This window comes from Homo sapiens, chromosome 2 (genome assembly GCF_000001405.40).
Source record: "Homo sapiens chromosome 2, GRCh38.p14 Primary Assembly".
Classification (NCBI taxonomy): domain Eukaryota; kingdom Metazoa; phylum Chordata; class Mammalia; order Primates; family Hominidae; genus Homo; species Homo sapiens.
Window position 1 is genome coordinate 166,406,869 of NC_000002.12, and position 14,069 is coordinate 166,420,937.

At 34.2% G+C, this 14,069-nt stretch overlaps 1 protein-coding gene across 9 annotated transcripts in view; it reads right to left on the reverse strand.

Moving 5' to 3' along the window:
• SCN7A (sodium voltage-gated channel alpha subunit 7) overlaps positions 1 to 14,069 on the reverse strand; it is a 90,677-nt gene that overhangs the window by 3,296 nt on the left and 73,312 nt on the right. For all 9 annotated transcript variants that reach the window (NR_045628.1, XM_006712680.3, NM_002976.4 and 6 more), the window contains 5 exons: positions 9,839 to 10,117; positions 6,200 to 6,253; positions 5,662 to 5,799; positions 3,352 to 3,456; positions 2,797 to 3,067 (listed from right to left, as the gene is read on the reverse strand). Coding sequence is in view for 8 of the 9 variants with exons in the window: in XM_006712680.3 (XP_006712743.1) it covers positions 2,797 to 3,067; positions 3,352 to 3,456; positions 5,662 to 5,799; positions 6,200 to 6,253; positions 9,839 to 10,117 (847 nt within the window). In the remaining variant the exon portion in view is untranslated. The remainder of the gene's footprint in view (positions 1 to 2,796; positions 3,068 to 3,351; positions 3,457 to 5,661; positions 5,800 to 6,199; positions 6,254 to 9,838; positions 10,118 to 14,069) is intronic.

Consider the following 14,069-nt stretch of genomic DNA (forward strand, 5'->3'; position numbering starts at 1 on the left):
AGATTATTTTTCTGTAACATCATCTAAGAGTATTACAGATCAAGTAGTTCTGGAATTACAGATGACCTGATTCTATAATGTAGGACAATAGTCATAATTTTTTATTGCTATTGGATTAAGAAACTTAGTTCCATGCAATCTTTATTGAATGCCCAATAAATATATCACACCAATATACAAAGATGAATGACATGATTTCTGTCTTCAGGAACCTTATAATTTAGAAAATAGTGACAGACATTTAAAATAATTATAAGACAGAAATTGATAAATATAATTACAGAAATGTCTGGCATTCAGTGATTCATAGATTGTAATTTAATTTCCTTATTTCATAAATAGTACTGGGGCTCCAGGAACTTTAAATGTGAATTGAATAAATAAGTCTTTGTTTAGAACTTTTTTGTAGCTGTGGTAGTTAGATGAGGGAAGTATGGCAGTGATTAACACAAGAACTATAAAACAAGGTAGAATTATAATTCATTAAAGGTATAAGAGATGTTCTCTGGAAGTATTAGAGAGAATGTAGTTTATTTTGAGTTGAGAAGGTAGTGGAAGAAGGAATCCCACGAGGCTTCTAAGTGATATGGTAGGTTTGTTGAATCTGGAGGAATCATGTCTCACATTTTTGTTAAACTTGGTCTCTGCCTAAGATGATATTTCTCTCTGATGTTCTATCCTATCAATACCCTATCTCTATAGTGCTTTAGTGAATCTTCTACTCTGACCCAAATTCTCATTTCCCTTCAACCTTCCAAACTTTTTCATTATGCAGGAAGTATCACTAAATTGTGAATAAATTCCTCTACATTCTCATCACTAATTTTTTTTTAACCCAGTCTCTTTTTTGGGGGGAAGTTCTTTTTTTAATCTTTGTTTTTATTTCTTCTAAAAAAAACCCACCAGGATACATGTGCAGAACATGCAGGTTTGTTACACAGGTATACATGTGCCATGGTGGTTTGCTGCACCTATCGACCTGTCCTCTAAGTTCCTTCCCCTCACGCCCCACCCTCCAACAAGCCCTGGTGTGTGTTGTTCCCCTTTCTGTGTCCATGTGTTCTCATTGTTCAACTCCCACTTATAAGTGAGAATATGTGGTGTTTGGATTTCTGTTCCTGTTTCAGTTTTCAGAGGATGATGGCTAAATCTGGCTCTATCTTGAAGACTCTATTTCCCTTGCAACCCTCTCAAATACAGGGAGCTCATTCTTCCCCACTCCACTTTCCTCAGGTTAGAAAGAAAAAATAGGTATCTTTCTTTCTTTCCAATGTGATTTCTGGTCACTTTTCCTTCCTATTATTTTTATAAAGAAAAAATAAAAGAGATTTTTGACACTTTGTGGATCATGCCATTCAGCTATATCATTTCCTACCATTCCTTGGCTCTATAGCCTACTCATTCTTCATTCACATTCATTGAAGACTTCAATAATTGACTCACTGTCTCTCATTTCACCTTAGCACCTACCATCAACAATCCATTTAAAAGCCGGTTTCTGTCTTTGGTCTTCTCAAGTTATTACACTCTCTTCCATCATTTTACAAATCTACATTTATAATCACATTCTGGACCCAAGATACCTTGCCTTCTGAAACTGCAAATTCAAACTGCTTTCTCTCTGACTGCAATTGCTTTTCCTTCCAGTTCTCTGATGAAGTCCCCTTCAGTCTCATAGGACCCTAATTCCATCATTTCTCTGCCTTCTTCCTATCAGCTCCCTCTTGTCTTCATGTACTTTTCTATCAGTTTTTCTGATAGCTTCTTCTTTTCTGAAGCTTCTTACGGTTTTTTTCAGTAGTTAGTTGCATTGTTTCCACTATCAACTGAATGAGTGAATATTTGGAAGCAGATCTGGGCAAACAGTTTATCTATATTTTCTACTACTCAATGCATAGAATAGTGCTTGATGCAGTAAACTTAAATATTGTTCCTACTCTCATGGAACTTACACCCTAATATGTGTGTTATGTGGAAACAGACAAACTTCTCTCTGCCTGAAACTCTTTGACACTAAATTCTTTGCTTGGCTATCTCCTTATCTGAAAAGTCTCTAATTAGATTTCACGTCTTCCATAAAGTTTTCTCTGACCTCTACTTACTGATTAGGTGACCTCCTTCTGCTGTGTTGCTGCAGCACCCTGTGACTTCCCTACCATAACCTTAATAGCACACATTAAAATGTACTGTTTAATTATCTATATCCTTTAATAGACTCTAAGCTATGTGTACACAGAAATTATACTTGTCTTGTTTACTACTGAATTTTTTGCATATAACAGTCTTTATTCTCAAAGAGAATTATCAAGTGTATTTATTAAATAAGAGAGAGATCTCCAAAGTAAGAGAAAACAAGCAACAAATTTGTTAAAGCCTGAAACTCTAATGTTGTATAAGTTGTAAATAGTTTTAGAGATTAGAGGGAAGGAAATAATAGTGAACCTGAAAGATTACATCATTCTAAGACATAAACGTCTTTCTAGTGTCATCTAGAAAATTAGTGTATATTATAGAATGAAGGGTTGACTAAACATTCACCTGGTGGCTTGTATGCAAAGTCTATGTTATTAGAAATATTTTTGAACATCTTATCTCTATTAGGCATGGGTGGTACACATATGAATACAAATGTGAAGCATTCCTGTTGAAAATAAAAAAAGATCTCTACCTGTTTTGCTTATTAGGAGACTATATTTCATGATTTTGAAATGTAGGAGACTATATTTCATATTTACTGTAAGAGCTTACTTGAATTAATATTATTATCAGTAAAAATTTGACTAAACAAAATCTTACCTGTGATGGAGAAAATAACCACCATAAAATCAAAAATGTTCCACGCAATGGTGAAATAAAAACAACGGAAAGCGATGAGCTTCAGTATACATTCCATAGTATATAGCATAACAAAAATTGAGTTAATCCAGTAGAGAGCAATGGACATTTGTAGACTCTGAACATCAGTGTCTATCATCATGGCTATTGCTTGGAAACATATAAGAACCATAACAATGACATTAAAAGCTTGGCTTGTTACCACATCAAAGATGAATCCTTGGAGCTTGTTCTGTGGGTAAAATCAACAGGTGTAATAGTCTTATTAATAGGATACATATACATATATATGGTCTTTTATACACTACAACTTTCTTCCCAAAATAAATGAGAATAAGTGTGAACCTAAATTTTTGCCAAACTATAACATATAGTCAAAACAAACAAACAAAATGACCATGAAAAGCTTTGTCAAGGGACACAAAAATTTTGACAAAAACATTTGTTAAGGCTTTAAAAGAGAATATATAAAGAACACCTCCATTGAAGTTTCAAAAAATCTAGACATTTTCTTACTAATGGGCGAGGTACTGGTCTTTGAGAATCCTCATACATTAGCTTCTTCAGCCTGCGGTACTGTTTTCTCTGTTTAACCGTTATAAAGATATTTGAGCCTCCCAGGTAAAGAAAGGAAAGAAAAATATATTAAAATCACACTTAATCCAAATTTTCCCTTATGTTAATAGGCATTTTAAAGACTTGGCAATTATTGATTTAATCTTCTAAAAAAAAGGCTTAAGTGCAGTGAATGAAATCATGTTTGAACATGTCTGACTTTCTGCCCAAAAATCCATAAAAAGCACATACAGAATACATGCTGATAGTGACAGAAATTCAGTAATCTCTAAGTGCGCTTTCTTAGGGGAGTGTCAACTCTATTTTCACATAGGGTTGTAAAAGAGGACAAAGGAGAAACAGCAGGGGATATCTGGAAATATTTACTAAGAAAGGTTGAGCTCAATAGCTAAAGGAAAAGTTGATTTGTATCTTTTAATAAGCAGAAATAAACAGAAATGATCATATGTGATCATTTTTATATGACTATATATTGCTTTATTTTTCAAATAGTATCAGAAGAGTTTTTTTTACTATTATTCCAAAAGCACCTTGCGCTTGCTTCTTCATAGCACGGTTGAGGGCTTATTCATTTTTGTGTTTCTAGTGCTAATTTCAGTATCTTATGTAATATATGTGAAGTGAATAATGTCACGTCCTAGGAATTAGGAATTGTTACTGCTCTAAATCAGGACCTGGTCACTTAAATTGACTGCAGACACCAGTTCGAAGCCTAGAAGCAAATCCTAGTATGTTATCCTACAGGGTTGATATTCGTAGAAAGCTGAAGCATCCAATCAAAATCACATTTGAGCACTCAGCTCTCTACTCCTATTTCATTGGTGGAGACTCAAGAGTGATTGATATACAGTAGTCCCCCCTTATCTGAAGTCTCACTTTCCACACTATCAGTTAGCCATGGTCAACCACAGTTGGAAATTATTACATGAAAAATCCTAAAAATAAATAGTTAATACATTTTAAATTTCATGTGGGTCTGAGTTGTGTGATGAAATCTTGTGTCATCCTGCTCTGTGGAGACCGGGATGTGAATCATCCCTTTGTCCAGCACATCCACTCAGTCTATGCCACCCACACATTACTCACTTTGCAGCTATCTCTGTTATCAAGCGATTGTGTTCAAGTAATCCTTATTATAATTAATAATAACCCCCAAAATGCAAGAGAAGTGATGCTGGCCTTCGAATACAAAAAGAAGCTGCAAACTGCTTCCTTTAAGAGAAAAGGTGAAAGTGCTTGACTTAAGGCAAGAAAAAAAAACATATGCTGAGGTTGCTAAATCTATGGTATGAATGAATCTTCTGTCCATGAAATTGTGAAGAATGAAAAATAAATGTATGCTTGATTTGCTGTTGTACTTCAAACTGCAAATGGCCACAGTGCATGATAAGTCTTAGTCATGGAAAAGGCATCTTAACGTGAACAGAAACGTTCTGATTTACGGTAATCAGGTTAGGTACTACCCTGCGGTTTCAGGCATCCACTGGAGGTCTTGGAACGCAGTCCCCTTGGATAAGGAGAGTCTACTGTACCAGATTTTACACATGGCTAAAGTTTGATTACATGGCTGAAGATAAAATTTCAAAATTAAACTATTCTTTCCTTTGACTTTTTTGGAAGGCTTCCCAAAAGAGATTAGGTGCCTGTGTAAAATAACTTGACTTAGATGTCTTTTTAGTCCTTTGCGTTTGTGGAGGCCCTGAAGAAGCTGCTTTTTAGAAATGGCATGAAACTGTAGTTATTCAATTCTGTCTCTGAACTCTGTCTTACTGGGTTCAAGCACTCCTACTTAGGCCACCCAGTTAGGATTTATGACTCTCTCTACTTCTAGCAGAAAGAACTACTCTAACTTTGAAAGATGTCCATGCTGGCTGACTGTGGAGGCTTTAAATATAACAGAGAGTAAAAGAGTGTTTTTTTCTGGAACTCTTCACATATTTGTGAAGATAGAAAATTTTACTTACAGTATTTATTTTTCAGCCCATAATTATTTCCAAAACACTTGTAATTTTTACACAGACACTTGTAATGTTTAACTTTTAAACTTGACTGTGTAGTACATATTTTGGATTTAGAAGGCAATGTTCATCAATGTGCAGGAACATTAATCATGATTTTTTAAGATACATGTCAAATAAAAATGACATTAAGCTGAATCCAAAGCCAATTATTTGAAGCAGGGCATTTATATATTTATGTGTATGCCTGATTTTCTCAGACATTGGATAAACAAATAATATTTATACTTATCTTTATTTTATGCTTGTTGAAATTATCAATAATAACAGTAATCAGCATACTCAGAGGGAGAAATACTCCAAATATAATAAAGTTGATAAAGTAACAATACATGTAGATGTTGACTTCAAAATGAGGCTGTATATTAACCTAGAAGTTTAAAATAAGCAAATTATTGATATTGGCTTTTTAAAACAAGTTTTATAAAACAATTTATGACAAGAAAACAATAACAAAACAAGCATTGTTATGCTACCTAAGAAACTGTTTTCTTTTTTGCTGTTTGGTAAAAGGATATCATTGCTTTGTATGAATGTTAAAGTTCATTTCATTCATTTAACCATTGTTGCAAAGTCTGGTAATCTTTCAAATGGACCTATGGGGCCTCAATCATTGTATATAATAACCCTGGAAGAATTTCATTGCCAATGAAATATCCAATCTGAACTGCATTTGATTTCTATTCATTATTACTGGTGTCCTGTGCTCGAATTGCAAAAATGACTTTGCTTGTATCCTAACAATGGCTTTAAAATGATATTATACTTACAGCAACAGAATCAATTGCTGAATTCATAATAGTGATCCATCCATTAAATGTTGCCTGTAAAAATAAAATGCATTTAAAATTTATGCTTCCTGGCAAATAAAAAGTAAAATCTCAGTCTCTTATTAGTGCACTGAAATATTTGACATAGGCTTGCCACACTTCCATATACTGTGTAATTGGGATCCTTAACATTTTCATTATTATATTGTCTGTTAACAACTATTTCAAGTACTTAGTTTATTTATAGTTAATAACAAAATATTTGAAGATAGCATGACTAGAAAAAGATAAATAGAGAAACAGATATATAAATGGTAAATAATTACATGCGGCCATGTGTCATGGTGACTTGTAGCTGCTACACATGTGCTTTTCTGTGAGAGACATAAGAGGAATTGTTCAACTCTTCACATCTGCTAGATACTGAGTCACTGAGTAGCAGTTCCTCAAAATGCTAAAGAGATAAAAAGTAGTGACTTGGGTTGAACTAAAGAATTATTACCTGTAGTGGTTAATACTGAGTGTCAATTTGATTGGATTGAAGGATGCAAAGTATTGATCCTGGGTGTGTCTGTGAGGGTGTTGCCAAAGGAGATTAACATTTGAGTCAGTGGGCTGGGGAAGACAGACCCACCTTTAATCTGGTGGACACAATCTAATCAGCTGCCAGCAAATATAAAGCAGGCAGGAAAACGTGAAAAGGCGAGACTGGCCTAGCCTCCCAGCCTATATTTTTCTCCTGTGCTGGATGCTTCCTGCCCTCAAACATTGGACTCCAAGTTCTTCAGTTTTGAGACTCGGACTGGCTCTCCTTGCTCCTCAAGCTTGCATACAGCCTATTGTGGGACCCTGTGATCATTGATCATGTAAGTTAATACTTAATAAACTCCCCTTTATATATATATGTGTATGTGTATATATATATATATATATATAAATATACTATATATATGTAAATATATATAAATATATTTATATATGTAAATATATAAAAATATATTATATATGTAAATATATGTAAATATATATAATATATTATATATAAATATATATAATATATTATATATATGTAAATATATATAAATATATATAATATATTATATATATGTAAATATATATAATATATAATATATTATATATATGTAAATATATATAAATATATATATCTATATATGTAAATATATATAGATATATATACACACACATATATATATATATACACACACATATATATATATATATATACACATATATATATATATATGAAGGAAGTAGAGATGCAAGTAAATTTAACAGAGGAAATACAGATACTAGCCCAAACTATTTTTACCACCACTGATCAAGTTATGGGGTGATGTATTAGTCAGGGTTCCCTAGAGGGACTGAACTAATAGGATATATATATATATATATATATATCTCCTATCCTATATCAGCACCTATTCTGATTTTTCGGTCACCCGGAAGTCTATATCCTCATCTTACCAGGCTTCGGAATAATCTCCCACATCCGGAAAAAAAGAACCATTTGGGTACATGGGCATGGTCTGGGCTATAATATCAGTTGGCTTCCTGGGATTCATTGTGTGAGCTCACCATATGTTCACAGTGGGAATAGACATAGATACACGAGCTTACTTCACCTCTGCCACTATATATATATATATATAGACACACACACAAAATATATATAGAATATATATTACATAGAATATATATTATTATATAGGATAATATATAGTAGGATATATAATATATAATAGGATATATATAATATATAGGATATATAATATATAATATATATTATATAGGATAATATATAATATATATTATTATATAGGATAATATATAATATATATTATTATATAGGATAATATATAATATATATTATTATATAGGATAATATATAATATATATTATTATATAGGATAATATATAATATATATTATTATATAGGATAATAATAATATATAATAGGATATATATATCCTATTAGTTCTGTCCCTCTAGGGAAGCCTGACTAATACATTACCCTATAACCTGATCAGTGGTGGTAAAGATAGTTTGGGCCAGTATCTGTATTTCCTCTGTTAAATTTACTTGCATCTCCACTTCCTTCATCCAATGGGGCAGAGACAGTATTTAACTTTTGTCTCTTTTTTTTTTTTTTTTCTTTGAGAGAGTGTCACACTTTGTCACCAGACTGGAGAGCAGTGGAATGATCTCGGCTCACTGCAACCTCCGCCTCCTAGGTTCAAGGGATTCTCCTGCCTCAGCTTCCCAAGTAGCTGGGACTACAGGTATGCGACACTCCACCCAGCTAATTTTTGTATTTTCAGTACAGATGGGGTTTCACCATGTTGGCTAGGACGGTCTTGATCTCTTGACCTCATGATCTGCCCACCTCGGCCTCCCAAAGTGCTGGGATTACAGGCATGAGCCACTGCAACTGGCCTGTCTCTTTAAATGAGTCTAGTGTTGTATGTTGCGGGAAGTCAGGGACCCTGAACAGAGGGACTGGCTGGAGCCACGGCAGAGGAACATAAATTGCGAAGATTTCATTTTAACATGGACATTTGTCAGTTCCCAAATTAATACTTTTATACTTTCTTATGACTGTCTTACTTTGATCTCTTAATCCTGTTATCTTCGTAAGCTGAGGATGTACGTCACCTCAGGACCACTGTGATAATTGTGTTAACTGTACAAATTGATTGTAAAACATGTGTGTTTGAACAATATGAAATCAGTGCACCTTGAAAAAGAACAGAATAACTGTGTTTTTAGGGAACAAGGGAAGACAACCATAAGTTCTGATTGCCTGCGGGGTTGGGCAAAAAGAGCCATATTTTTCTTCTTGCAGAGAGCCTATAAATGGACGTGCAAGTAGGGAAGATATCACTAAATTCTTTTCCTAGTAAGGAATATTGATATTAATACTCTGGGAAAGGAATTCATTCCTGGAGAGAGGTCTATAAACAGCCACTCTGGGAATGTCTGTCCTATGCAGTTGAGATAAGGACTGAGATACGCCCTGGTCTCCCACAGTACCCTCAGGCTTACTAGGATTGGGAAACTCCATCCTGGTAAATTTTAGGTCAGACAGGTTCTCTGCTCTCGAACCCTGTTTTCTGTTAAGATGTTTATCAAGACAATATGTGCACCACTGAACATAGACCCTTAACAGGAGTTCTGATTTTGCCCTTGTCCTGTTTCCTCAGAAGCATGTGATCTTTGTTCTGCTTTTTGCCCCTTGAAGCATGTGACCTACTCCCTGTTTGTACACCCCCTCCCCTTTTGAAATCCTTAATAAAAACTTGCTGGCTTTAAGGCTCAGGTGGGCATCATGGTCCTACTGATATGTGATGTCACCCCCGGCGGCCCAGCTGTAAAATTCCTATCTTTGTACTCTTTCTCTTTATTTCTCAGCTGGCCAACACTTACGGAAAATAGAAAGAACCTATGTTGAAATATTTGGGATGGGTTCCCCCGATAGTTGTATGTCCCATTACATTTATCTACTAATTGCTAAAATATTTTATAACCAAATGTATTAATCGCCCACATTTTGTCCTTTGCATTCAACCTACAATATGGATGAATATATAATTAATAAGGAAAAGTCAAAAGTGTACTTACTACTTGAAGCAGAGAAAGGAAACCATTTCCAACATTATCAAAGTTCATTTTTGCATTTTCCCATAGCATGGATTCGTTAAACAGAAGGCTTTCACACCGACTCTTATTCATGACTTCAGATGAAGGAAACCTTTCTCCACTTGTTGGGTCAATGCATTCATAGAATCTGCCAGCAAATAAGTCTACTCCCATGATACTAAAAATCAGCCAGATCATCAGGCAGACAAGAAACACATTCAAAGTGGGTAAGGTTGTTTTGATCAAAGCTCTCACAACCACCTGGTATATATAAAAAATGTAAACTTTAGATAGGAAATCTGAAACTGTTTTAGTTTTTGATCAGTTTGAAAAATACTAATTGATAGAATAACATATTTAAAAAAAAACCTTAAAAGGCCATATCTAAAGATTTAACAGCCCACATGCTGGTACTGGAATAACCTAAATAGCAATTCAATTTTTATTTAGAAAATACACTCAAATCAGGCTGGGCGTGGTGGCTCACGCCTGTAATCCCAGCACTTTGGGAGGCTGAGGCGGGTGGATCACCAGGTCAGGAGATCAAGACCATCCTGGCTAACATGGTGAAACCCCTTCTCTACTAAAAATACAAAAAATTAGCCAGGTGTGGTGGCGGACACCTGTAGTCCCAACTACTCGGGAGGCTGAGGCAGGAGAATCGCTTGAAGCCAGGAGGCAGAGCTTGCAGTGAGCAGAGATACTGCCACTGAACTCCAGCATGGGCAACAGACCCAGACTCCATCCCCCCACAAAAAAGAAAATACATTCAACTCTAGATATTCTTAAAATGTTTGTACTAAAAAATCATTAAATGGCAACAGAGCTAATTAGTACAAATACTAGAATAAATAATTATTTTGCTGGCTTAATATATATATATATATATGCTTATTGATGTCCTGTATCATGCCAGAAATGATCATTCAAGATAACTGAACCCATGTGTATGTATGAGATTATTTTAAAATATATATATTATATATTTTAAGTGAAATATAATATGTGAAAGAGTAGTTAGGGGAATCAGAAGACCAATAGTTTGTACTGTCAATGAAGCCAAGAGAAGAGATTGCTTCAGGAAATTAAATGGGTTGCTGTACGTCACAAAGATTCAATCCTCACTGAACCATTTGGTGTCACTGGTGAGTCACTCCAGAGTATGAAGCTTGGGAGATGAATCTGCCACCTAAACTTGAATACCAGCAATAATCTATAATCACTGTCATTATTTCCTCAACTGACTTCACTCTTTAAAATTCAAATCAGAATTGTATTCTTATTACTCCACTGAAGCTGCTACGGCAAATGCAAATCAGTTGCTATATCTAATATAATAATATAATAGTTTTACTATTTCCACTACTTATTTTTCTCTTAGCTTTTTTATTTTTTTATTTATTTTATTTTATTTATTTATTTTATTGAGACCAAGTTTTGCTCTTGTGTGCAATGGCCCGATCTTGGCTCACTGCAATCTCTGCCTCTGGGGTTCAAGCGATTCTCCTGCCTCAGCTTCTGGAGTAGCTGACATTACAGGCACACGCCACCCCGCCAGGCTTTTTTTTTTTTTTTTTTTTTTTTTTTAGTAGAGACGGGGTTTCACCATGTTGGTCAGGTTGGTCTTGAACTCCTGACCTCAGGTGATCCACCCACCTCGGCCTCCCAAAGTGATGGGATTATAGGCGTGAATCACTGTGCCTGGCCTCTCTTAATTTTATACTTTTGATTTCCCTCTCCTGACCTTCTTTCACTTTCTTCCTGAGGCACCACTGATTCTGTTTTCTACCATTCTAACCTTCCCTTCCTTCAGCCATTACTAGATACTAATCCTTTTGCCTGCATACTCTTCCTTATGTTCCATAGTTGCCTGTCTTTGAATTAATATTTAGGCTTTTAACTATGATTTCAGTAACACTTTTATTTCTAAAACTAGATCACAGATCTTTTGTTAATACTTTTAAATATTTTGAAAGGTCCATTAATTGTTCTGCTGAAGAAAAATGCCATGTCTTTTAGAAAATCTACATATAAAGAATAAAAAGAGTGGATATAGTTGACACATATATTTGAAAAGTAGACAGCACCTAAGACCTTAAACTTATTAAATACATAAATCATTAATTTTGTAAGCATGTAACTTCCTAATATACTCAATGATATATCTTCAGAGATAATTTACAGAACTTCCAGAGGTGGAGATGAGGCTTCAGGTCTGAACCTGACTTTGACCTAAGCATGGCTACTATTTTCCTGACCTTGAATTGTCCACAGCCATTGTTTCATTGCCATTCTAATGAATGTACAGCATTAAATGGTACAGGGCCTAATTTCTGACAGAGTCAGTTTCCCTGGCAAATCTCTTCCTCCTTTTCTCTAAATTGGGGCAGACAACTTGCTGATTTTGTTACTTTTTTTTCCTCCCTATATGTCTAAACTTATTAGGAAAAAGAACTGGTATTATCCCGTTTTTTGAAAATAAAAAAGAGTTTATTTTAGTTACATATTTACTTAGGGGGGTGTGTGTGTGTGTGCATGTGTATTTTGAGTAAATAGGCCCTCTGTAGTTTACATGTCAGAATATTCTATAATGTTTTCCTATCACTAAACTGTATTTATACTGGAAATGTGGCTGTCTTTTTTTTTTTTTTTTGAGACAGTCTCACTCTGTCACCCAGTCTGGAGTGCAGTGGAGCAATCTCGGCTCACTGCAGCCTCGACCTCCCAGCCTTAGGTGATCCTCTCACCTCATCTCACCTCAGCATCTCAAGTAGCTGGGACTACACTTGCACACACCACACCTGGCTAATTTTTGTATTTTTTGTAGAGACAGGGTCTTACTGTGTTACCCGGGCTCGTCTCAAACTCCTGAGCTCAAGCAATCTGCTGGCCTCGGTCTCCCAAATTGCTAGGATTAGAGGTGTAAGCCACCGTGCCTAGGCTGTTTTGTCATTTTAACTTCAATCTTATCAAACCATTCAACCACCTTATTTTCAGCTTATTTGCCACCTTATTTTGGTTTAAAAGCACTGGGCAATATCACCACCTTGTGGATCTTCATGATATGGTTAAATGAAGTCTGTTTCTTATTATATGTTACAATTACTATTTTAGATTTTTTGTTTTTGAGGTGTATAATTGGAATTTTGCCACATTTGGAATTTTATGTATTTACTACATAATCAAAATATTAATTTCCCAACACAAATAAATCAAATGTATTTAAGAAACAGATAGATCAGGCCTAAGTACTATTATAATGAGTCAACGATACATTTGTATGAATTACAAGAATATTATAATGAATCACGGGCTAAGTATACATATACAAATATAACTAATGTACTTAAGTACTTTACACAATCATAAAAGTGAAATTATTAAAATTTCTGAAATTATTTTTTTAAATAAAATACATATTTAAAATCATTTATATTTCTGTTTGTATTTATAGAGAAAAATAAACATCCACATTTCACCAAGTGGAAGGAGTTTAAGTGTTATGGTTTCTTAATTAATAACAGTTTAAATGTAACACATAATACAATAAACTATAGGGATAAAGGTTAAACGTTAATAATTTTCTCACTGGATTCTACCATAGCAATGAATATGTGATATTACGTAGTAATTAAAGTGGCAGACTGATATGAAAAAAATCTATGTAAATAAAAATGCAAAAACACATAAATGTATTATAAAATAAAAGGTACATTTGAACGTATTCTCCCATTTCTGTATACAATGGGTCACTGTATAGCTACATACTTATACTACTTGTGGTGGTCACAGACTCCATTTTTTTCTATTAGGTCGAGCATTATGGGATTTCCATTTCAGGTACAAAAGATTGAACACCGGCCTTTTATAATATTCAATCTATTTTCTTTACATTTTTCAGACATTGGCCATTTTATAATATTCAATCTATTAATTTTCTTTACATTGTTCAGAAGAGGTTTTAACATGTGAGTGATGAAGACAGGAGAGGTAAGAAATCATCACTTGTGATTGTGACATTAAAAAAGTAAATTTATCTTAAAATTCAAACTTTTCTTTCATTCAGTGAGTAACCACTTAGGGTATACAATGTTTGTATAATTTTAAAGTTTGTTAACTGATCCAAGTTTCATTTTCTGACAACCGTATTTTTAAAATGGAGACAATTTTGGTAATATGCATATGTATATGGGGTAGAAATATATTTTTAAAA